At 54.4% G+C, this 24,695-nt stretch overlaps 2 protein-coding genes and 1 long non-coding RNA gene across 8 annotated transcripts in view; 2 read left to right on the top strand and 1 right to left on the bottom strand.

Annotated features, from left to right (window-relative positions):
• On the top strand, window positions 49–22,084 carry INPP5K (inositol polyphosphate-5-phosphatase K). 6 transcript variants are annotated; one of them, XM_024450802.2, is made up of 14 exons: window positions 49–205; window positions 543–773; window positions 1,076–1,092; window positions 2,682–2,789; window positions 3,107–3,208; window positions 6,862–6,978; window positions 7,308–7,483; window positions 8,435–8,546; window positions 9,572–9,681; window positions 18,539–18,725; window positions 19,858–19,995; window positions 20,259–20,342; window positions 20,497–20,601; window positions 20,782–22,084. In XM_024450802.2, exons 5-14 carry the CDS (start codon window positions 3,176–3,178, stop codon window positions 20,836–20,838), a joined length of 1,119 nt encoding a protein of 372 aa, XP_024306570.1. In that variant the 5' UTR covers window positions 49–205; window positions 543–773; window positions 1,076–1,092; window positions 2,682–2,789; window positions 3,107–3,175; the 3' UTR covers window positions 20,839–22,084. The 6 variants fall into 6 exon arrangements, with proteins under 6 accessions (XP_024306570.1, XP_011522236.1, NP_001129114.1 ...); XM_011523934.2 differs by having other exon boundaries at window positions 3,100–3,208; NM_001135642.2 differs by having other exon boundaries at window positions 1,076–1,234; window positions 3,100–3,208.
• On the bottom strand, window positions 21,967–23,874 carry LOC105371483 (uncharacterized). The gene is made up of 2 exons (XR_934145.4): window positions 23,036–23,874; window positions 21,967–22,711 (listed from the first exon to the last, which is right to left on the bottom strand). It is a non-coding gene; the product is annotated as an uncharacterized LOC105371483 (long non-coding RNA).
• Window positions 23,975–24,695, top strand: part of MYO1C (myosin IC) — a 28,501-nt gene continuing 27,780 nt past the window's right edge. The window contains exon 1 of the mRNA NM_001080779.2: window positions 23,975–24,248. Coding sequence (NP_001074248.1) covers window positions 24,174–24,248 — 75 coding nt within the window. The 5' untranslated portion in view covers window positions 23,975–24,173. The remainder of the gene's footprint in view (window positions 24,249–24,695) is intronic.

The raw sequence follows: 24,695 nt of genomic DNA, 5'->3' as shown, positions 1-24,695 counted from the left end.
CGTCTCTGACGGAAGCCGGGGCGGACGGTCGGAGTCCGGAAGAAAAACAGTCCGCGACAGCTAGGCGCGTGAGACCGGCCGCCCGCAGGGCTGCTCTGGCCGGGACCCGCTGGCCGGGAGACGCGAACCTGCCGGACCACCGCGCGGGGACGACGGCGGCCATGAGCTCGCGGAAGCTGAGCGGGCCGAAAGGCAGGAGGCTCAGGTGAGGGCACCCTGGCGGCAGAGGCAGGCCTGCTCGGGGGGATCGGCGCCCCTTGGGCTGCGGGCTGGGGGTGGACAAGGCACCAGACCTCCATGACTGCCTTTGGTTCAGAGGCGCTCTCGCCTTCTCCCACGCCTGTGTCAGGTGGGCTGTGTTGGGCCCGAGCCTCGCGCCCCCTCTAAGCCGAGGCCGCCAAGCTCGTTCCCACTGGGGCGCAGCAGGTGTCCCGGTTGCTTTCTGGAGAGGACAGCCGTGTGGGGTTGTTTGAGGTTAAAGACATAACGAGGCCGTCACCCTTCGGCTCTCGGTTAGAAATCTTTTTCCTACTTTTCATCAGCACATACATCAGGAGGTCTGCCTGATCCCATGGTGAACCCCGGGAATCCGAAATCAGATTGAGATAAGATCCTTTAGGGAAGTGACTTAGCCTGGTCTCTTGCCTGCTCTTTCACGGGGAACAACGCTAATCGCCCACTTAGTCTAAGTCACGATGCTTGGATTTGCTGCTAATCGTCGGATTTGAGAGTGGGAACAAGAAATCCGGACTTTTGCTCTCCATCCTCTTAGAGTGAGTCTGGGAAAAGAAGTCTCTGAGTAAAAGGTCTTTGTTCCTTAAGCCTCTGTCGGACAGCAGGGGGAGATCGTAAACAAATGAAGCTCAAAATCTCAGGCCGAGTGCCTGGGAAGGTGGTTTCTGTATAGTGTTGTTTATGCTAACAGGGAGGGACAGGAAGTTGCTTTAAACTGGCCAAGAATTTCTTGAAGTGCTTTTGAGAACGTCGACCTCTAAGGACGGGGTCTGTTGGAGGAGAGATGTTTTGGCATTAACTGCCCTTTTCTCCCATCCCCCTGTACCCTCTGCCATTCCAGATCTCCAGCTGCTGCAGGTACTCCTCATCGTGTGCCTAGGACTCATGCTAGGCTGTTCCTGGTCTCTGCAGGGTCTGTAGCTCCTGCCCGCTCTGTGCTCCGCACAGTCTGAGGCTTCTTGAAGAGCTGCTGTGACTGACTGTTCCACTAAAGACATCTGTAGGTCTCTCTTTCCTGAGCCTCTGACTGGATCCAGTGTCATTGAGGCCCCTTATCTAGTTTTCTTGCTTCCCTAAGACTTGTAAGCTGAGGTGGAAAATATCCAACTGATGACTTTTCCCCAGAGAGTACTCTTTATTTTTCACGGAATACTACGCAGACATAGAGCATAGACTCTTAAGAGAGATGTCGAGAAACCTGTTACTTAAAAACTCCTTGGCCGGGCGCGGTGGCTCAGGCCTGTAATCCCAGCACTTTGGGAGGCTGAGGCGGGCGGATCACCTGAGAGATCAGGAGTTCAGGACCAGCCTGGCCAACATGGTGAAACCCCGTCTCTACTAAAAATACAAAAGTTAGCCAGATGTGGTGGCACACACCTGTAATCCCAGCTACTTGGGAGGTTGAGGCAGGAGAACTGCTGGAACCTGGGAGGCGGAGGCTGCGATGAGCCGAGATCATCCCAGTCCACTCCAGCCTGGGCAACAGAGTGAGACTCAGTCTCAAAAAAAAAAAAAAAAAAAGTCTCGCTGAAGTGCTTGGCAAAATTGGCTTGCTCCAGGGATCTGCTAGGGAGGAGAGAGGAAGGGAATATGGTGGTGTTATCTCTTTTATTTTTTAAATTCCTCTGCCCTTGTAGTGCTGAGGCCTATCACAAGGTGAAATCTGAATCCCTAGGATCTTCCTGGTGGTCTTAGGAACACTTGGGGTGAGAAGTAGGGATCAGAAGTTGCCGACTGAGCCATAGATGATGACAGAGGGGTGTGGGTGGCTGGAGGAGCTGATGGAATTAATACATTCCTGGCAGTTCAGCCCCCTAACCCTTCGCTAGCCTGACCTGAAATTCTTGGGCTCCCTTTGGCGACTCTGCTATATCAGCAGCACCAGTGCTGCCGGGTGTGGGTGGCTGTGAGCCAGCATGGAGGACCCAGTCCGGGGTGGGGATTTCTTGCTTCAGCAGAGAAAGGTGAGGACGGACAGCTGATGGTTCAGTATCCCCATTCCCTCCACCAGCACAGAAACCCACATTTCCCATCATGAGTGTGGCAGATTGCAGTGACATAAGCAGGCCTAGACCCCGTGCACTATCTTTTTTTTTTTTCTTTTGAGACAGAGTCTCACTCTGTCACCCAGGCTGGAGTGCAGTGGCACAATGTCGGCTCACTGCAACCTCTGCCTCGTGGGTTCAAGCAATTCTCCTGCCTCAGCCTCCAGAGTAGCTGGGATTACAGGCGCCTGCCACCATGCTGGGCTAATTTTTGTACTTTTAGTAGAGACGGGGTTTCACCATGTTGGCCAGGCTTGTCTCGAACTCCCGACCTCAGGTGATCCGCCCACCTCGGCCGCCCAAAGTGCTGTGATGACAACGTGTGAGCCTCTGCGCCCAGCCGACCCCGTGCACTATCTTATCCTCCTTCCTCCATGACTTCCCTCTGCATCCCTTCCGCAGCATACACGTCGTGACTTGGAACGTGGCTTCGGCAGCGCCCCCTCTAGATCTCAGTGACCTGCTTCAGCTGAACAACCGGAACCTCAATCTTGACATATATGTTATTGGGTAGGTATCTGCAGGCTCCTTCGCCCATCCCTGACCAGTCCCAGGTTTCCCTGTGGGAAGCACTGTGACCTGCCCTCCTCCGCTCTGGAGTCTGAAGGCTGGGAGCTTTCAGCCTGCTTCAGGGACAGTCCCATGTCTCTGGTCCCGGGTCAGCAACGGCAAAGGGGGCTGGAGATCAGCAGGCAGGGGAGGGAGACCTCATGGCCATCAGAACTCAGGCCTTGAAAGTCCGTGAAGATGGTATCAAATATCTGTGGCAGGGGAAGTAGCCTGGAGGCCAGGGGCCAAGCCTCTGAGCTGGCATGGTCAGTTTGCAGGAATTGAACTCTGGGATCATAAGCCTCCTTTCCGATGCTGCCTTTAATGACTCGTGGAGCAGTTTCCTCATGGATGTGCTTTCCCCTCTGAGCTTCATCAAGGTAACTTGCCAGTTCATTGGCACTTGACAACTGTGTTTTCACATCTCCACTGACCCCTGCTTGTTGGGTCTGATGTGTTCCTCTTACTCCTGCTCAGCCTTTCATGCTGTTTCCCATTTGTTTAAAGGGCTAAACCTCCCTTCCACCTGGACCCCGGGGCCCCTGCCTGCCTTCGCCTTTCTGAGGGAGCTGGAGTCTCCAGGGGTTGGGTTAACACCTGGATATGTTTCAGCTTGGGAAGATTCTGAGGGGAGGTGCAGCAGGGCTTGTCATCACCTCAGTGCTGGCCGCTGCCCCAGCCACCAGTCTCTACTCAAATGCCCATCCTGAAGTCTCTGAGTGTAATCATACGGCTGTCATTTATCAAGTGCTTACTTGTTGTTACACATCATAAGTAGCTCTTTATAGTATATATGTTATTTTAAAATCTTAACAAGTCTGTTGAAATAGAGATATTTTACAGAGAAAACCATGGCTCAGAAGCCACATGCGCTATCTGGGATTTGGATCCAGATCTCTCAAACTTCATAACCCAAGTTCTTAACTACTAATACCTTATTGCTATGCTGGTGAACTCTAAGACTGACAGATCTTAGGCGTGGCTAGCCTGCTGGTGTCATAGGGTATCCTCAGGTCATACGGGACGTGCACTTCAGATTCTGGGGGTCCAGAGGTTAGGAGAGGGGAGTCAGGTGTGGTGGGTACTTTGGGCGGCTTTCTTAGTCTGAGAGACCAGTATACTCTGGGGTGTCTTTAGACAGTAGGAGAGTCCACAGGAAGGCCCTGGGTTGCCAGATCTTCACCTTCACCTTGGTTCTGCCCTGCACACCTGAGGAATGAAACACACTCCCATTCACAGCACCTGGTATACAGCTGCTTAGAAATACCAGAATTCCCTCTTTCCCCTTCCTGGATGACTCTTGTTCTTCAGAATGGATTCTGTCAGCCTAGTTTGCCTGGGGGTACTGAGGCAAGAGCTGTGTGTCCTTTGGAGGGGGAGCAGAATGGGGAGGAAAGAATCTAAGGTTTAGAACTCCTGCTGAGGATAGAAAACACCAGCCCGAGTCCTTGGTTCCCTCCACATCAAACCCAGAGGCCTCCTTCTGTAGATAGGGAGCTAGATCCTTACAGAGGACACAACCACTTCTCTCTCACCCGCCACTCCCTTCCCAAGACTGCAGGCCTCCTTGCTTCTCGGCTGACTGGCAAAGGATTGGTAGGATGGAATTGAGCCAAGGAAATTAGCTCAACTTGTGGCAGAGACACAGCCCTTTCTACCCATGTGGCCTACTGAGATTGGGAGGCCAGACTGAGGGCCTGGCACCCAAAATGAATGCCCTTCTTTCCCCAGCCAAGAATCAGGGTGGATGGGTGAGCTCCGTGCATTTGCCAGCTATAGACTGAGAAGGGCTGACCCCCTTCCACTGCTCCAGGGCCCCCAGCCACCTCCTGCTAGTCCTTTCTTCGCTCCTCCTACTTCATTTCCTCCAACTAGAACTTTCCCTAGAACTCTCCTGCTTTTCCCACAGCCCCACCCTTTCTCCCAGTCTAACTCTGTCCTGCCCCGACCCCACCCTCCCCGCCCCCACTTCCCTGCTGCTCCTTCACAAAGCGAGCCAGTGTCTTTGTGGTGGAACCCAGTGGCCTAAAGCTGCTTTGTGGGTGGGGATTAAGCCTGAAACTTTTCCTGAGTCTTTATCAGTCCCCTTGCTTCAATCCTGACCCTGGGAGTCAGCCCCTCATGGTCCAGCCCGTCCTCCATCCCTGTTGGCACGTGTGCTTGGGTGTAGGAGAGAGAAGACTGGGGAGGAAGTAGGCTTGAGGACACACCTGTAGCAACCTCTGGCCCACCTGAAGTTCTGATGCCTCCCTTACCCAGTGCTGGGTTTGAGGTTCCCCCTGCTTCGACTCCGCTATGCCAGGGCTCGTGGCCTGCAGGATCAAGTTTCATAATTCCTGGAAGGCCCCAGTACACGCTCCCCACCCGGGGATTTCCTCCTTGGCCTCCACACTTCATTCTCCGGAAACGGCTCCTCGGGTGCCGGTGGTAGACAGCCTGAACCTGAGAGGGAGAGCTACTGGCTGCGGCCCATTCCCACCCCACCTTTTGCAGCTGCAGATAGTAGGGATCTTGGCAGTCCTAGCCCTTTGATGTTGTTTTACAATACAGGTAGCCCTACTGGTTCCTTAGCCTCCCTAAATCTTAGTTCCTCAACTACAAAACAGGGACGGTGATTCCTTACAGGCTTGGCAGGAGTAAATGAGAGAGGAGGCACTTGAGCAGATGTTAGCTATTCTCCCTAGCCTGTGCACATGTGTCCTTACCCACTGGCATTCCATGGGCGTTGCCTTCATGGACACCCAGCTGCACGCAGTATATAGTTATGGGGTTTGGGGGGAGCATTTTCTTATTTTTTTTTCACTGAGCTATAATGTACACAGAAAAGCATGCAGAAATTCAGTGTACACTTTGATGGGTTTTTGCATATACCCATGTTACCATCAGCCACATCTAGATAAAGAGCAGGCCGAGTACAGTGGCTCATGCCTGTAATCCCAGCACTTTGGGATTATAGAGGCAGGGAGATTGCTTGAACCCAGGAGTTCAAGACCACCCTGGGCAATATGGCAAGACCCTGTCTCTACAAAACAAACAAAAATAGCCGGGCATGTTGGTGCACACCTGTGGTCCTAGCTACTCAGGAGGCTGAGGTGGGAGGATTGCCTGAGCCCAGGATGTCAAGGCTGCAGCGAGCCGTGATTGCACCACTGCACTCCAGCCTGGTAGACAGAGCGAAATCCTGTCTCTAAGTAAAAAGGGAGGAATGGGGGCAGCTGGTGGATAAAGAACATTTCCAAGGAGAGAGGGAGGAAGGGAAGGGGATAAAGAAGAGCATTTCCCAGTATCCTGGAAACCTCTTATGTTCCTTCCTTTTAAGAATGCTTGGCCGGGCGCGGTGGCTCACGCCTACAATCCCAGCACTTTGAGAGGCCAAGGCAGGCAGATCACCTGAGGTCGAGAGTTCAAGACCAGCCTGGCCAACACGGTGAAACCCCATCTCTACTAAAAATACAAGACCTGGTGGTGGGCGCCTGTAATCCCAGCTACTTGGGAAGCTGAGACAGGAGAATCACCTGAACCCAGGAGGTGGAGGTTGCAGTGAGCCGAGACCACGCCATTGCACTCCAGCCTGGGCGACAGAGCGAGACTCCGTCTCAAAAAAAAAAGAATGCTGAAACCAAAAAATAATAGCTTTCAGATAATCCCCACAGCATCTATGAGATGGATTCCTACTTTATCAATGAGAAAATACACTGAGAAACTGCCTCAATGTCAAATACTAAGAATCAGAGCCAGGGTTTGAACCCAGATCTAACTTCAAAGCCAGTATCCTTAGCTTATCTTCTCTTCCCGCCACCCGCACGCCTAGGCGCAGAATCGAAAACCTCAGCCCCCAGAATGTATCATTTGGCAGCTGAGAAGAAGAATGGAAAGGCTTGAAACTCTGAGATTCAAACTGGGATATCGTAGACCCTGGAGCAGGACACTGCATGTAGCTGAGGGCTCTCTAGAGTCCCTAGCACGGAGCTTGGAAGGGATGCACTTGGCCTGTGTGGTTTAATGAGCGACCTTTGCCCTCTCTCTCCTGCAGGTCTCCCATGTCCGTATGCAGGGGATCCTCTTACTGGTCTTTGCCAAGTATCAGCATTTGCCCTATATCCAGATTCTGTCTACTAAATCCACCCCCACTGGCCTGTTTGGGTACTGGGTAAGGACTGAGCTATTGTCTGAGTCGTGAGCTGGGAAGGGCTGGGAACTGTGGAGCTGGGCAAAAGAAAAAGGAAGTGAAAGGAATCTTGGTCCTCTGTCCAGCCCAATGCATGTTTGTTCTTTTGCCTCAGAGTGGGCTTGCTATCCCTGAGGCCAGGCGAGGCGAGCTGGGCTCTGTGCATGGAGAGATCACCCTGGGAAGCTTAGTTACTGTCCCTAGGAGACCCTGCAGGAAGTGAGACTGTCTGCCCTCAGGTCCAGGATGTGGAAAGAGGGGTGTGTCCAACCCGAGTAGCTTCCCACTCTTCTGTTGACCTGTTCTACCAGGGGAACAAAGGTGGAGTCAACATCTGCCTGAAGCTTTATGGCTACTATGTCAGCATCATCAACTGCCACCTGCCTCCCCACATTTCCAACAATTACCAGCGGCTGGAGCACTTTGACCGGATCCTGGAGATGCAGAATTGTGAGGGGCGAGACATCCCAAACATCCTGGACCACGAGTGAGCCTGGGTCTGGCAGACCGTTCCCCGCCCTCTGCCCCACGCTAACCCCCACTAACCCCCACGAGTGAGCCTGGGTCTGCAGACCGCTCCCCGCCCTCTGCCCCACGCTGACCCCCACGAGTGAGCCTGGGTCTGCAGACTGTTCCCCGCCCTCTGCCCCACGCTGACCGCCACGAGTGAGCCTGGGTCTGCAGACTGTTCCCCGCCCTCTGCCCCACGCTGACCCCCACGAGTGAGCCTGGGTCTGCAGACCGTTCCCCGCCCTCTGCCCCACGCTGACCGCCACGAGTGAGCCTGGGTCTGCAGACCGTTCCCCGCCCTCTGCCCCACGCTGACCCCCACGAGTGAGCCTGGGTCTGCAGACTGTTCCCCGCCCTCTGCCCCAGCTGACCGCCACGAGTGAGCCTGGGTCTGCAGACTGTTCCCCGCCCTCTGCCCCACGCTAACCCAAGCCAGCATCCTCTGCTCCATCACGGATCCCCCAGCCAGTGTCGTCAGTGTTCTGGCTCCCACCCTCTCCCTGACCCTTCCCTGGTGCCCATCTGCTGTCTCCCCTTGCTTTGCCTGCCTGGGGTCCCCTTCCTCCAGCCCGTCTGTCTTGCTTAGAAACCCTGAACACTTGGGAACAGGTCAAGGACCTTGTGGCTCCTGAGGTCACCAGGAGGGCTTCTCAGCCTTTCCTCGTGACCAGTTAAGGAGAGGAAGGAAGGGCCACAGCCTGCTCTGTGTTTGCCAGAGCAGGCTCTTTGGTAGGTCTCTCCGGTTTGAATGGTGGTTTAGGAGCCATGAGAACAGTTCCAGAGGACCCACGCGTGCCCTGGCGTCTCACTTGCCCCTCAGGTTTTCTGTGCCCCAGCAGCCCTTGGGTTGAGCAGGCTGAGCCACCTGGTGATCTCCCTTCCCCGACTTCATCACAAATCCTCAGGCTGCCCTCCTTTTTTTCTGAAGCCTCATTATCTGGTTTGGAGACATGAACTTTCGGATCGAGGACTTTGGGTTGCACTTTGTTCGGGAATCCATTAAAAATCGGTGCTACGGTGGCCTGTGGGAGAAGGACCAGGTATCCAGTGAGGGGAGGGTCCCAGGGGGTGATCTGAGCCCACGGTGGGGGCCATGTGAGCTGTGCAGAGTGTTGCTAGATGCCCTCGCTGCTGTTTTCTTTTGCCCAGGTCTGGTGGGGGAGGCTGTCTAGCAGGGCTTCGCATCCAGGGGTGAGGCAGCCACGCCTGATCTTCACATGGAAAAGCCAGGGTAACAGACCCTGGATGTGCTTTAGAATAGAGAGTCAGATACAAAGCATGAAATGAATTATTTAAAAAAGAAGAATAGGGGCCGGGCACGGTGGCTTATGCCTGTAATTCCAGCACTCTGGGAGGCCGAGGTGGGTGGATCACCTGAGGTCGGGGGTTTGAGACCAGCCTGACCAACTTGGAGAAACCTCATCTCTACTAAAAATACAAAAAAAAATTCGCCGGGCGTGGTGGCACGTGCCTGTAATCCCAGCTACTCGGGAGGCTGAGGTAGGGGAATCGCTTGAACCCGGGAGGCAGAGGTTGCAGTGAGCAGAGATAGCGCCATTGCACTCCAGCCTGGGCAACAAAAGCAAAACTCCATCTCAAAAAAAAAAAAAGAAGAAGAATAGGGAACCAGAAGGGCTTTGCACCAGGTACCATCATGCGTCAGCCCATCGTGTCCCTGTCGTCTTTCCCATCCCCAGCCTCGTTTCCCTCTTGGAGGGTGAGGTGCCCCTTTGGAGAACCCTGGCTTCCCCAGGTTCCCCTCTGACACATGTCTGCTAGTGATCTCCCCTAGAGATGGAATTCCAAGTTGGGTCCCTGCAGTCTAAGGACTGGGAAACGGCAGACAGCTGCCTCCCCTGGGCCTTGGTAATGTTTCCGAAAGGATTCGCCTGCTTTCTGGTGGGAGTGGGCTGCTGAGTAGTCACTGGGGCAGTGAGGAATTGGAGTGGCATTGCTTGACTCTTGCCCCATTTGTGACGGCATGTGCTGATCCCTTGAATGGAGTGTGGTACTGGGCCACTGGGTCGAGACTACTGGGAGACGGGGACTATGACTTTGTCTGCAGCTCAGCATTGCCAAGAAACATGACCCGCTGCTCCGGGAGTTCCAGGAGGGCCGCCTACTCTTCCCGCCCACCTACAAGTTTGATAGGAACTCCAACGACTATGACACCAGGTGAGGAGGGAGTGGGGGGCCAGAAGGTCTAGGAAGTCAGGTTACACTGACCCTGCTGGCATGGGAACTGTCTCAGAATAGAAGTGTTAGGGGGGGCAGGAATTGGTCTAGTCATCCCCTCTCCAGAGTGGCACCTCCTGTCCACTTCATGAGGCGCTGACTCGGGGAGCCGTCCCAGATCTCGAGAGAGTGGGAGGAAAGCCAGTGCCAGCAAGGGCAGGAGAGGTGTGTAGGGGGTGGGGGTGTTACAGATAGAACCAGAGGAGAGGGTGGAGCAGCTGCCTCCTGACCTAGGAGGGACTGCACTTCAGCTTCGGGAAACCCCAGACCTTCTGGTCCCCAAACGGGGCAGAAAGCTTGGCCCAGCCAGTTACTGGTATTAAGGACGCCTGCCCCAGCCTGTGAATGGGTCAGGTCTTGTGTGAGAAGGTGAAGTAGTAGGTAGAGAGTTTCATCAGGATCAGTGTAGAGATCATGAGTCTGGTAGTTAGAAGCACGGCTCTGTCTTATTTTAGCCAAAGCGTTTAGGCCTTGATTTTGTCAGCTATAAGGTGTGGATGAGAAGAGCACACACCTCATGAGGCTGAGGACTGAAGGAGGCCGTCACCCAGTAACCATGGGAGAGAACGGCTATTGTGACTTTTCGATTCATGCCGGCTGGGCGCGGTGGCTCACACCTGTAATCCCAGCACTTTGGGAGGGCCGAGGCAGGTGGATCACTGAAGGTCAGGAGTTTGAGACCAGCCTGACCAACATGGTAAAACCCCATCTCTACTAAAAATTCAAAAATTAGCTGGGCATGGTAGCGCGCACCTGTAATCCCAGCTACTCAGGAAGCTGAGGCAGGAGAATTGCTTGAACCCAAGAGGCAGAGGTTGCCGTGAGCCGAGATCTCACCGCTGCACTCCAGCCTGGGTGACAGAGCGAGACTCCGTCTCAAAAAAATAATAATAAAATAAATAGATTCATGTCTTCCCGTGATAGATTTACTAAAAACCTTTCTAAGAAGCTGAGAAGGGGCCAAATAACCACCAAAACCTGAGAAAGAACCACTGGCAACATGTCCCTGACTCATTTTGGGGCAAGGAACCTAATCTCTTTGAAGAAAAGAAGAGCCCCTTACATGTCATGAGGGTCTTTGTTCCAGCGGGAGCAGCTTGTTCATTCCTCCTAGCTGGAGTGTCTCTGTGAGGGAGGCGGGAGGTACCGGCAGGGCAGCCCAGGGCTTTGGGATTTAGCCAGGGAAGAAATATCTCCACAGCCAGACCAAGACAAGAGGTAGAACTCAAGCTTGGTTCTGGAAGTGTTACAGCAAAGCCAAAATATCCTTGTCAAGGAAAGGGGGAAAGAGTGAGCCGATTCAGCAGTGTGGAGCAAGACAGGGTAGGGTCGTGAGCAGGGCCGTCCACAGAAGAGGAGGCAGTGGACGCTGGGGAAGGGACCCGCCCTGGGCAACAGAGCAGGCAGGAAAGGAGGTAAGAGGCCAGGCTGCAGCAGGATGGCCGGCCCAGATCAACAGCTGCAGGGAGACTGCCAGTCTCTGCAGCCATCCATTGGAAACAAGAGTCCTGGTGGGAGCTGTAAGGACAGGGTAGGGCCTTGGGTGGGGAGGGGGTGCTTGAAGCCAGGAGTTCAAGACCTGCCTGGGCAACATAGTTAGACCCCGTCTCTACGAAAATTTAAAAATTAGCTGGGTGTAGTGGCATGTGCCTGTAGTCCCAGCTACTCAGGAAAGCTGAGGCAGGAGGATCACTTGAGCCCAGGAGTTAAAGGCTGCAGTGAGCTGAGATTGACTCACTGCACTCCAGCTGGGCAACCCTGTCTCCAAAAAAAAAAATCCTCTTTAAAAACTTACCAGCAGGAAGAGAGCTGCTGGCAGGCCCTACGGCCAGGCGTCCCCTTCTCCCAGCCCTATGGCAGAGAGACCTCCAGGAGACTGAAGTTTGTTGCAAAAGCTGGATCTGGGCTGGAGTTGGCAGGGTCAGAAAGGGTAGAGAGCTTTGGAGAAGTTCAAGGGCTTCCCCAGGTAGCTCAGCCAGTGAGTGGCAGAGCTGGGGCTGAGACTGATCTCTGAGTCTGTAGCCCACAGTACTTTCCTCAAGCCCATCGTACCTCAGGATTCATGGTCATCCTTGCCAGCAAGAGGAAAAAGGATGGCACGGTGAGGAAGGCAGACTCCCGCTAAGGAGGAGGCACGCACCTATTTCCAAATAACAGCTCATTGTGATTGGCGTGCAGGTGTGCGCCAAGGCTTTGCCTGTATCAGTTCCTACCATGTCCTCGTTAGGTAAACAGTGTTATTATTGCCTGTTTACAAGGAAAGCAACTGAGTCTCAAAGAATATATAAGTAAGGAGTAACAGGCTTCTTCATCGCACGAGGATTGGAACTCATATCTGTGTCTGTAGACTCATGAGCCTTCGGTACTGCTTCCCTTTGGCTGGAGCCCAGGAAATGCAAGACTGTCTGGGCGGGAACAGGGGACATGGTAACTGAAATACTCCTGGCTGGGGCCAGGATCCAGGGGCAGCTGGGAGTTTTGCAGTGAGCAGGGCCTGAGCCCACCTGGGGAACAGATATTCCTGTCTAATGACACTGTTATTTTATCCTTGGAAACCCAGTTGAGACATCACTTCTCCTAGGACGCCTTCCCGGCCCCTCCTCATCTCACTGAGAGTTCCTCTCCTGCCTTGTGCCACCCCCAGCCTTGCGCATGCCATGCTTTCAGTGTTGCTTTTGAGACACAGCGTACCTTTCTTACTGTACTGTGATTGCCCAGAGAGCAGAGACGATCTGATTTAGGACCATCCCTGGGAGTAGCACAGTACCTGGCATATGTTACCAAGCCTGGGAGTTAGTCAATAGAAGGTTTCCAGAACTCCGTGCAGAAGGTTGGAGCAAATGTTAAGGAGGTGAACAGCTAAAGCTAGGAGAGGCCTGTCAGACTTCCTGTCAAGGACAGTATCTTGAAGGAGGCACAGAGTTTCGCAGAAAGCAGAAAGGCGGGCTTTCCAATCAGTCAGCACACTGACGAGAGGAACCTGGAGGGGGCCGGTTTGATGAAGTGACTGTGAGCGTTAGTGTGCTGGGCCAGCCACTACGGTGTCCCTGAGCCAAGATGTAATGAGAAACGAGGCCAGCTCCCTTATAGGGAGGGCAAAAGGGCTGAGGGCAGGGCGGGAATCCTGCTAAAGTCCGGGGTTACACTGGAGTTTTGTTATAGTTGCCACTGTGAGCCCAGACAAAGTGTTTTATTTTTTTCGAGACAGAGTTTTCTTCTTGTCACCCAGGCTGGAGTGCAATGGCATGATCTTGGCTCACTGCAACGTCCGCCTCCTGGGCTCAAGTGATTCTCGCCTGCCTCAGCCTCCTGAATAGCTAGGATTACAGGCACCCGCCACCATGCCTGGCTAATTTTTTGTATTTTTAGTAGAGATGAGGTTTCACCATCAGAGTGAGAACCCTCCCCCTGCAAAATTTTTTTAAAAGGCCTGGTGTGGCCGGGTGCGGTGGCTCACGCCTGAAATCCCAGCACTTTGGGAGGCCAGGCGGGTGGATCACGAGGTCAGGAGATCGAGACCATCCTGGTGAACACGGTGAAACCCCGTCTCTACTAAAAATAAAAAAAAATTAGCCGGGCATGGTGGCGGGCACCTGTAGTCCCAGCTACTCGGGAGGCTGAGGCAGGAGAATGGCGTGAACCCAGGAGGCGGAGGTTGCAGTGAGCCGAGATCACGCCACTGCACTCCAGCCTGAGTGACAGAGCGAGACTTCGTCTCAAAAAAAAAAAAAAAAGGCCAGGCGTGATGGGTCACACCTCTAAACCCAGCAATTTGGGAGGCAGAGACAGGATGATCACTTGAACCCAGGAGCTCAGGTTCAGCCTGGGCAACATGGTGAAACCCCATCTCTACAAAAAAATACAAAAGTTGGCATGGTGGCACATACCCGTAGTCCCAGCTACTCAGGAGACTGGGGTGGGAGCCTTGCTTGAGTCCAGGAGGTTGAGGCTGTAGTGGGCTGTGATCACACCACTGCACTCCAGCCTGGGCAACAGTGAGACCCTGTCTTAAAAAGAAAAAAAAAACAGCTGGGCATGGTGTGTACCCCTGAAGTCCCAGCTCCTCAGGAGGCTGAGGCAGGAGGATCATTTGAGCCTCGGAGTTCAAGGAGGCTGCAGTGAGCTAGGAGGACACCACTGCACTCCAGCCTGCATGACAGCAAGACCCTGTCTCTAAAGAAAAACAAGGTGGAGTGGAGAGAACTTGGTTAATTTGTACACGCTCACTTTGCTTGTTTCTTGGATTTTGCTAAACAGGCTCCTCAAGGACTTTGTCCATCCTATTTCTCATATCCCCAGTTGCGGGGCACATAAGAAGGGCTAAGTAAATCTTGGTATGCCCAGTGATCAGCCTGGCCGTGGCAAGGAAAAGGAAAAAAGGGGGGTGGGGGTGGGCTGAGAGTCCTGAGGAGGAAGGAGAGACAGGCTGTGGTCAGGGCTTGGGGAAGACCCTTACATGACAGCATATATGGGCTCCAAACCATCACAGGGAAGTTAGGGAGGGAGAATGCTTTGAAAGAGAGAACGTGCATTTGTGTGGTTCATTACCAAGTTTGTTTGTTTGTTTGTTTGAGACGGAGTCTCGCTCTGTCGCCCAGGCTGGAGTGCAGTGGCGCGATCTCCACTCACTACAAGCTCTGTCTCCCGGGTTCACGCCATTCTCTTGCCTCAGCCTCCTGAGTAGCTGGGACTACAGGCGCCCGTCACCACGCCTGGCTAATTTTTTGTATTTTTAGTAGAGACGGGGTTTCACCATGTTAGCCAGGATGGTCTCCATGTCCTGACCTCATGATCTGCCCGCCTTGGCCTCCCAAAGTGCTGGGATTACAGGCGTGAGCCACCGTGCCTGGCCCTATGTTTGTTTGTTTTTTTCTTTTTTTTTTTTGAGATGGAGTCTTGCTCTGTTGCCCAGGCTGGAATGCAACAATGCAATCTTGGCTCACTGAAACCTCCGCTTCCCAGGTTCAAGCGATTCTCCTGCCTCAGCCTCCTGAGTAGCTGGGGTTACAGGCACATGCCACCACGCCTGGCAAATTTGTGTGTGTGTGTGTGTGTGTGTGTTTTTAGTAGAGACGGGGTTTCACCATGTTGGCCAGGCTGGTCTTGAACTCCTGACCTTGTGATCCGCCCGCCTCAGCCTCCCACAGTGCTGGGATTACAGGCGTGAGCCACCGTGCCCAGCCCCATTACCAAGTTGTAAGCATTGCTAGGCACCTGCTGTCCAAGGCAGATTCAGGGACGCAGTGTCTGTGGTCTCTGGGATGGGAATACCACATTCCAGTGCCCTCTGAACACTCCTTAGAAGAGTGAAAGATTGGAAATGACCCAAGGAGCCAACAGGCAGACCAGGGTTAGTCAAAGTTACCGCTTCGTGACCACCCCCTTGACGCCCTTTAATTTCATTACTGCTCTTTGAAGTAAGTACTGTTATCACCCCGTCTTAACAGCTGAAGAAACTGAGGCTTAGAGAAATGAAGTCACTTGCCCAGGGGCATACAGCTCTCAATTAACAGGACGGACCCTTCCCCCAACTGGTCTCTGATTCAAAAGTCTGAGCTCACCACTGTAACGCCATTCTCCTCAGTTGCTAGAATACTTACTCTTTTACTGTTGAAGGGACACCAGTACATTGGGAACATTTATTTAAAATAGCAGTTGAATAGGCCAGGCACGGTGGCTCACGCCTATAATCCCAGCACTTTGGGAGGCCGAGGCGGGCGGATCACAAGGTCAGGAGTTCAAGACCAGCCTGGCCAGCATGGTGAAACCCAGTCTCTACTAAAAATACAAAAATTAGCTGGGCATGGTGGCTCAACGCCTATAATCCCAGCTACTTGGGAGGCTGAGGCAGGAGAATCGCTTGAACCCGGGAGGCAGAGGTTGCAGTGAGCTGAGATTGCGCCACTGCACTCCAGCCTGGGCGATAGCGAGACTCCGTCTTAAAAAAAAAAAAAAAAAAAAGCAGTTGAATAAAGAAGGAGACAAAAATAGTGTTTCCAACTGCGAGTATATGGAGCTGTAAACATTAAGATTAGACGGACATTTTTGAGGGACGAGCTTCAGCTTGGGTTTTTAGTAAGTGTACCTGGTTATTGAGTACCTGTGTGCCAGGATCTGTGCTAATGCTGAGGATACACAGGACACTCCAACAGCTAAGTCCTTGCCTTCAGGGCTTACACCTAAGTGACATGCTGAGTGGGAAACAGAAAATTGCAATGTAGTGTAATCGTATAATACTGGTATAAAATGTTTCAGTGGCCGGGCGCGGTGGCTCACGCCTGTAATCCAGCACTTTGGGAGGCCAAGGCGAGCAGATCACGAGGTCAGGAGATCAAGACCATCCTGGCTAATGCGGTGAAACCCCGTCTCTACTAAAAATACAAAAAAGTTAGCCAGGCATGGTGGCAGGCGCCTGTAATCCCAGCTATTCTGGAGGCTGAGGCAGGAGAATTGCATGAACCTGGGAGGCGGAGCTTGCAGTGAGCCGAGATTGCGCCAGTGCACTCCAGCCTGGGCAACAGAGCGAGACTCCGTCTCAAAAAAAAAAAAAAACTTTGGAAGCAAAAAGCTAATGTCTGGGATGGTTTCGGCAAAGGCCTCTCCCTGGTGAAGAAAGGTGTTCCAGGCAGCAAATACTGCAAAAGCAAAGGTCCAGAGGCTTGAGAGAGTCACCAAGGTGGAGTGGGTCTGGGGAAGTGGTGTGAGATGAAGGATGGGGTGGTCAGACTCCTGAGCCCCTTGAAAGCCCTACTTGGGGACTTTAACTTTATTCTGGAGGCAGTGAAGATGCCTTAAAGGTTCTAAAATAGCCGGGTGCCCTGGCACATGCCTGTGGTCCCAGCTGGTCAGGAGGCGGAGGTGGGGGGTTGCTTGAAGCCCAGGCATTTGAAGCTGCAGTGAGTTAGGATTGTGCCACCGCACTCAGCCTGGGCAACACAGCAAGACCCTGTCGATGGATTGATCAATCAATAGGTAGGTAGATAGGATTCAACACAGTGAGACCTGTCGATCGATCAATAGATGAGATAGAGTGTGTGAGACCCTGTCTATAGATTGATTGATTGATTGATCCAATTAGGCTTTATTACTCTGGGTTGATTCAAGAAAGGAGATTGTCCATGAAGGGGGTGGAACCCAGAAACCGCAGCTGTCCTGCTCCCCCGCCACACACACACCCCACCTCCAGGAGTCAGAGCTGCTGGTCTCCAGGAGGGCAGGGCCTCAAGGACAAGGTGGCCTTAGAAACTGCCACAGTAGTTGCTTCGGAAGGCTGGGTTATGGGTCAGAGACTCGTCTTTGGTCAACTTCAGTTACCTAGAGGAGGAATGCATTTTGTCTCCGGAGCGTATTACCTTTTCCAAACCCCTCAGGGAAACTGGCAAGTGAAGAACAGGTGGGAGGTCTCTCAGTCGACTCCTTTTTTTTTGGAGATAGAGTCTTGCTCTGTCGCCCAGGCTAGAGTGCCGTGGTATGATCTCAGCTCACTGCAACCTCCGCCTGCCAGCTTCAAGCAATTATCTTGCCTCAGCCTCCCGAGTAGCTGGGATTACAGGCACCTGCCACCATGCCTGGCTAATGTTTGTACTTTTAGTAGAGAGTCAGGATGGTCTCGATCTCCTGACCTCATGATCCACCCACCCTGGCCTCCCAAAGTGCTTGGATTACAGGCGTGAGCACCGCGCGCGGCCTCTCAGTCGACTCTTGAGAGGAAATCATAAAGGCCAGTGTGCATGGCGAGCTCGTTTTGCACCAAGCACTGTGCTAAACATTTTATGTACTTTATCTCATTGACTCATCCTAGCAACCCTTCATGGTAACTACTGTTATTCCCTCCACTGGCAGGCGAGGAAGTTGAGGCCTGAGAGAGGTTAGTTTAGTTTGGTGGTTAAGAGCACATGCTCTGTGGTCATGCTGGCTGGCCCTGAATCCTGGCTCCACCACTTAGTACCTTGTGACTTTGGGAAAGGTGCTTCCCCTCTAAGCTAAGTCTCAGTTTCTCCACCTGTAAAGAGAGCATGATACACCCAGGCACAGTGGTCCATGCCTTCTAATCCCAACACTTTGGGAAGCTGAGATGGGAAGATCCTTTGAGGCCAGCAGTTCAAAACTAGGCTGGGAAACATACTGTCTTTACAAAAAAATGTTTAAAAATTAGCCAGGCATAGTGCCACGCACTTACCGTCCCAGCCACTCAGGAGGCTGAGGTGGGATCGCCTGAGCCCAGTAGTTTGAGGCTACAGTAAGCTGTGATGTCACCACTGCACTCCAGCCTGCATGACAGAGCAAGACCCTGTCTCTTTAAAAAAATAAAATTAAATTTAAAAAAAGGTGTGGTAACAGTACTGATCACAGGCATCCTCTGGTAAGCATTTCCTAAATGCTTCCCTTCCCTTTCCTGAGGCATACTTCTAGTATGCAGGGCAGCCAAATACAAGCTCAGGTGTGTCCAGCCTCAGAATCTCAAACCTCAGCTGCTTTGATCCACTGCTGCTTTTGCTCAAGAAAGAAGCAAAGCTTTGAAATGGAATGTTTCTGAGTCACAATTTGATCCATAAAAACATGAGCTAGACATACAGAGGGTCCTGGCTAAGTCTGACAAGTGCTGGCATACTTTGGATTCTGTTAGGCACCTTCCTGCCTGCTGCCTTGCTCCCTCCGGCTCTGGCCCCGGGGGTCTGTGGCTGCCAGTAGTTGCTGGAGTTAGGGGCTCCAGCAAGCTCATGTGGGCTCATTTCTGCTCTTAGCCAACCCTTTCTTCTTTCCCCATTCTTCCTCTTTATGCCCCCTGCCCCTGCAGTGAGAAAAAACGCAAGCCTGCATGGACCGATCGCATCCTGTGGAGGCTGAAGCGGCAGCCCTGTGCTGGCCCCGACACTCCCATACCGCCGGCGTCACACTTCTCCTTGTCTCTGAGGGGCTACAGCAGCCACATGACGTACGGCATCAGCGACCACAAGCCTGTCTCCGGCACGTTCGACTTGGAGGTGAACTTCTGGGCTGCCTGATACTTGCCAGAGGAATAGCTATGCTGGCCACATCCCCAAGCCCTCCATCCCTGGATTCGAATGTCAGCCAGTCCCCCAGGGGAGACCTGTGGAGGCCATGATTGCCTTTCCTGCCAGGTCGGATATCCCAGCTCCTCTTAGGAGCCGTTGATGGCTCTGTCTGTCAAAACCGTGTTCAAACCCTTTGTGAAAAGGTTTCCATTTCCTTTGGGTATTCTCCCTTGGGGCTAATGAGTTCCATTAGGCTTATTACCCAATGTGAGAAGTAGGACTTCTTTTATTTGTCCTAAATCTATCTGGATCAAGTTGCAACGGGCGCTCCCTCCATCCCTGCGTCCTTGTATCTTGCTATCTGAATGACCAAGGTGGTGTTGGCCTCCTTCAGGCTGCTGCCCCTCAGCCTTCACGTTTTCATACAGGTTTACTGGCGTGTGTGTGTGTGTGTTAGGGTCTCGTTCTGCCGCCCAGGCTGGAGTGCAGTGGCGGTATCATAGCTCACTGAAGCCTCCACCTCCTGGGCTCAAGTGATTGATCCTTCCACCTCAGCCTCCCTAGTAGCGGGACTACAGGTGCACGCCACCACGCCTGGCTGTTATGTATTTTTTGTAGACACAGGGTTTCACTATGTTGCCCAGGCTAGTCTCGAACTCCTGGGCTCAAGTGATCCTCCCAAACTGTTGGGATTATGGGTGTGAGCCACCGTGCCTGGCCCCCGCTGGTATCTGCGTTGTGTTCTTGCACGTTCACAGCTGTTCTCACCAGAGCATCCCCCCATGTGGGGCTTTGGGTCAGATAAGGCGGGAGGCCTGAGAGCAGCTGCCTGGCCGCCTCCTTAAGCCTCTCAGCCGTGCCTCTGCTCTCCGCCATTCCTACCCCCCAGCGCTGGGCCCCATGGGATTCCGACAGGGCCAGCCACCCGCCGACTGGTGTTCGGCCCTCTTTCCTGATGGCCAGCCAAGGTCCGTTGGAGCAGCCCAGTGGAGTTCCATGCCCACCCCCTCTGGGTGCCCCACCTTCCCCACTATGTTGGAAGGGCACAGTGAGGAACACTTGGCCTCAGAGGAGGGAATGATGCTGCGAGATTCAGCCCCCTTCCCACCCCCGTGTCTAGCTGAAGCCATTGGTGTCTGCTCCGCTGATCGTCCTGATGCCCGAGGACCTGTGGACCGTGGAAAATGACATGATGGTCAGCTACTCTTCAACCTCGGACTTCCCCAGCAGCCCGTGGGACTGGATTGGACTGTACAAGGTGATGTGGTGGCAAGGCAGGAAGTCCATCAGCGACAGCCCCTGGTTCATCCTTCCCGAGGGCTCCTGGGAGCTGGGCAGATGCTGACGAACTCACCCTCATCCACCCCAGCGGTTCTTCTGTAGCTAAAGGCTGGCAGTGAAGGGCGGCGGGGAGGCACACAGTACGGTAGCCAGGCCCAGCAGGGAGACCATCTCTTCCTTAGGACTTGCCTTAGGTCCCATGTCCTCCCTGACCACTGATGGCCTGACTCCCCCTCACAGGTGGGGCTGCGGGACGTTAATGACTACGTGTCCTATGCCTGGGTCGGGGACAGCAAGGTCTCCTGCAGCGACAACCTGAACCAGGTACGTCACCAGCACCAGGTACATCACCAGCAGGCAGGCCTGCCTCAGCACTCCTGTCTTGTGGAAGGAACAGAGTGCTGAATAACTTGTCACTCAGAGCTGGGTGGAGCCCAGAGCCCTGGAGCTGACCCCAGTCCTGTCCATCCCCCTCCAGGTTTACATCGACATCAGCAATATCCCTACCACTGAAGATGAGTTTCTCCTCTGTTACTACAGCAACAGTCTGCGTTCTGTGGTGGGGATAAGCAGACCCTTCCAGGTAAGCAGTGCTGGTGAGGGAAGGGGAAGGGTGAGGGCTTGAGCTCATCACTGGCTCCCTGAGGCCCAGGCCTGGGAGCCAGCCGGTACATGAGGGGCCGCTGCAGTGCAGGAACGGGGGTGATGGAAAGCACGGAGGAAGACCCGCTCTCCATTTCCACCACCTGCTTTATCCCTGCAGATCCCGCCTGGCTCCTTGAGGGAGGACCCACTGGGTGAAGCACAGCCACAGATCTGAGCCAGGATGGGAGTGAATCCCAGGCGGAGGCCAGAGCTGGCAGCCAGCTCTGCCTTTCCACTGCCGGGAGTGCTGGGGGCCCAGCCTGGCCCCCTGAAGAGACAGCCAAGTGTCGTCCACATACTCCTCCCAGAGTGAGCTCTAACCAGGCTCATTTGCTCTCTCCACTACTCATCTCTGGAATTAGCCGCTTAAATACAGGTTTTTGTTGCTGAGATGTGAGTGAAACCAGCTAGTGTGTCAACAGTGAAGACCTGGGGACAGTTCTGCGTCTCATTTCTGGATTCCTACCCCCTCTTCTAGTCTTGCCCAAGTAGTCCTGCCAGGCACATGCCCCATTTGGCACAGGCCTGCATTCTTGTCGTGCCGTCCTGGGCCTCAGGCTGTCTGGGAGGGGAGATGCTCACATTTGTACAGGCTACATAGACTGGTGCAAGCAGTGCTGGATTCCAGGAGTCTTGGCATCTCATAGCTTGTCCCCGTGAGGAGTGAGCAGAGGGTCTGGGATTTCTGCTTTCAGCAAAAGCAGTCTGACTCAGTGGGCAGAATGGAGGGGCCCCTCTAGCCAGGCTCTTACGCCATGGTTATGAGCAGGTTGATGAGGGTCCTTCGGCCAGCACAACCTTCCTCCCTACTCACGGCATGGAGTCTGACTGCATGGAAGTTCCAGATCCTGACAGAGAGAACTGGGAAGGATCCAGGTTCGCTTCCGTTGGTAGCTTGAGTCCCATGCCTCCACCCTGCCATCTGAGGAAGGGGTGACAAGTGGTCAAGGAGCTGTGGCCACAGACTTTTCCAGGGTGGTCCTTGGCAGGTGAGGTGCGTCTGTGCCACCCTTGTCAGGAGCCATTGACGACGGGCCCCCCCTGGACCCCCCGGGACCTCAGAGTGGGGGCAGGCAGAAGGGAGAACCAGCTCAAGACATTTTGGAGGATCTGGCCCTGGGGTTCTTCAGAGAACACCCTCTAGGGGCTTTGGGGACATGGCCTGTCCCCACATCCAGCACTTGCCTCCGCCATGGTCACTCGGCAGCCCTTTTCCCAGGAGAAGACACCTCTGGGAGCCTGCTCAGTGCTTGTCCTGCCATCCTGTGTCCTGGGACTGAGGGTTACTCCAGTTGCTCTGTGTTGCATACTCTCCCCCGCAAGCCTGTGTATGAAGAATTGTCCCCTGGCTTCCAGCAGGCCATGGCTGGCTGTTTTGTGACTGTTACATTGTGCAGGGGTAATTATTAGCGTGGCTTTTACACTTGCGTGTGACTGATGATTGGGGGGTGGGGGTACGGTGATGGGCCTGGGACTAGCTGTAGATTCCAGGAACAGGGACCCTGTAGATCCCAACTAGACTTCTGTGTCTGAGATTTGCAGAAGTGGCCAGGACTGGGGCTAGGATGAGGTTCTAGAATGGTGAGCCTCTGGGGCCCTAACCAGGTGGAGCATGCCATCTATGCCGGTGGCCGCTTAATGTACTCTGTTAAGTCAAATGAGCTCTTGTTCATCCCTCCTGACCCGCTGCTCTGCATACCCTGGTGTTGAGCCTTCTGCCTGCGTTAACCAGTCCAGAATGCCACCATCTTCTCTTTCTGCCCCACTTCTCCTCAGCCCCTTCTTGCTGAGTTTTCCCCCATGGTAACCTATCCCTGCCCCCAACACATATACCTAGGGACCTCCAAAGCCCTCACTTGCCCACCTGTTCCTTCTCACATGCACAGCCATCACGAGGGTTACTGCATGGCACCCTTCATTGGGCAGATGGGAAAGCCAAGGCTCAGAGAAGTGGTACAGTCTCTTCAAAGTTCCAGGCACCTGTGGTTTCCCACAGGACCAGAAACAGGAATGGGGTCTGAACCCACCCGCAGAGCGGTCTCAGTAGTCTGTAAAATACAGATGATGTCCCTATTCTCAAGATTACTGTGGGAGAACAATTGCAGAAAGTGTATCGCACTAGACCCGCCTCCCCGTTCTGATTAATGCGGCCCCGGGGCTTGACCCCAGGGGTCCCCCCACATGCTCACCTCCCCCGTGGTGAACTGAGGTCGCCACACACCCAGCCTCCTGTGTGGGAGGGGTGAGCCCAGCAGTGATTGAGAGGCGGAAAGGGGAATGGGGGGTGCTCTCCGTCCTCTGGGCCCCAGTCAGGATATGGCCGTTCTGGGTCCACCCCGACCCACTGGGTGGAAACAGGAAATAAGTGAGACCTGGTGTGCACTGGGTCTACGCCTGGCTCCACGGCTGATAAGGGCCATTGTGTGGCCGCCGGGGATGAGCCTGCTCTGGATAGATGTGCTTCCCGGAGGAAGGAAGGAAGGCTTGCTAGCTTTTCCGGGGCGGGGGAAGCTGTGGGGAGAGAGAAGGGTGCCGGGGGGAAGGCCCCTGCCTATGGGGCTGTCGGTGCCAGCACACACCCACGGGACTCAGCCCTTCCTATGCCAGCCTCTCCCTCTGGAAAGGTCTGTTTCCCCTATCCACTTCCCTGTTCTTACTTCCTATAAGGAATGGCTGGAGACTGGAGGGCTCAGTCTCAGGCCAGGAAAGTGTCAGCTGTGATTTAGCAACAATAAAAATAGAAAAGCAGGAACATCAGGGGTGGGGGTCACCTGGGGGTACTGTTGAAACGCAAGGGATGAACAGGGCTAGAGGTTGCCCACACCCAGGGAACCCAGGAACTAACCTCACAAGCTCTGAGGCTCAGAGGAGGGTAAGCCAAGAGCTTCCTCACAGCGGGACAGCCCCCTGTCCGGGCCCTGCATGACCAGGCCCCAGCAGCCCTGGTCTCTCAAACTCATGGTGGGGGCTCACCTGCTGTGGGGGGCAGCCCCGTTGAGGGGATGTGCAGGAAAGCCAGTGCCTACTAACGGGTCCTCTTGGCCTAGGGGAGGGCATGCCGTCTGGTTTGGGGAGTGGGCCCCGTGCTCTCTAGGTGGTACCAGAGAGTGGGCAGGAGGAGGGGCCCAGCCATAGAGCTGCCGTGGGGATGGGGGGAAGGGGAAAGGCGTCCTAGCCTTTGACCTGGAGCCCAGGGTCCCCCATGGGTGGCTGCATCGGCTCCTCTGGTTACCTGGGACAACAGGCATTTCCTCCATCCCCAGCCCCTCCTCTTCCTGCTCCAACCATCCGGGCCAAGAGGCCTCCCAGTCAGACCTGGACGGCTCCAGCCGTGTCCTGAGGAGCTGGACCAGCCACATCCCCTGGGGCTGCAGTTGAAGCAGAACCAAGTGGCCATCCCGGCGTTAGACCGTAGGTTCCTGGTCCCGGAGTGGTCGGAGCCCGCCAGTGGGCAGGCAGCTCTTGCTCACAGGCCGCGGTGCCCAGGCCGCTGGCTCTCCGCAGGGCGGAATGGCGCTGCAAGTGGAGCTGGTACCCACCGGGGAGATCATCCGCGTGGTTCATCCCCACAGGCCCTGCAAGCTTGTAAGCTGGGATGCTCTGGGCTGGGAGGAGGGTGGGAGCGTCTCCCCAAGGCCGGGCAGCCCCTCTCAGGCGAGCCCTCGGGCAAGAGCTGAGCAGCGGGGAGGGGTTCCGATCCTTGGCGGGGCCAGAACAGACTGAACAAGACGGGGTGAGTGGAAGAGTAAGGATGCAAGGGCCACTAGCAGCAGGATTTTTGGAAGTGGAGGTCTGGGCTTGACTCTTCCCCGGCTTCCCGAACCTCAGTGGGCAGAACCGTGAATACTGGGCACAAAAGGCAAGTGCCGGCTGCTGTGAGGTCGAAGGACCAGGGCATGGAAGCTCCAGGCTCAGTCAACGCCCCGCTCCTCTCCAGTCCGCAGGGCTGGGACCGCCCAAGACTCAGAACAGAAGGACGGTGTGGGAGGTGGGTGAAGGGTCACGGGTGGGTAGAAACGGGGGAGCGCGGCC

Source organism: Homo sapiens, chromosome 17 (assembly GCF_000001405.40).
Source record: "Homo sapiens chromosome 17, GRCh38.p14 Primary Assembly".
In the NCBI taxonomy this organism is placed as follows: domain Eukaryota; kingdom Metazoa; phylum Chordata; class Mammalia; order Primates; family Hominidae; genus Homo; species Homo sapiens.
This window is presented reverse-complemented; position numbering and strand designations above follow the sequence as displayed.

What these genes read in the sequence shown, in the direction of transcription:
- INPP5K (NM_016532.4), top strand. Translation starts at nt 162, where the DNA reads ATGAGCTCGCGGAAGCTGAGCGGGCCGAAAGGCAGGAGGCTCAG. An exon ending in CCGAAAGGCAGGAGGCTCAG is followed by an intron (nt 206 to 2,681) that starts GTGAGGGCACCC and finishes TCCCTTCCGCAG; the next exon opens with CATACACGTCGTGACTTGGA. An exon ending in GCCTGTGGGAGAAGGACCAG is followed by an intron (nt 8,547 to 9,571) that starts GTATCCAGTGAG and finishes CTTTGTCTGCAG; the next exon opens with CTCAGCATTGCCAAGAAACA.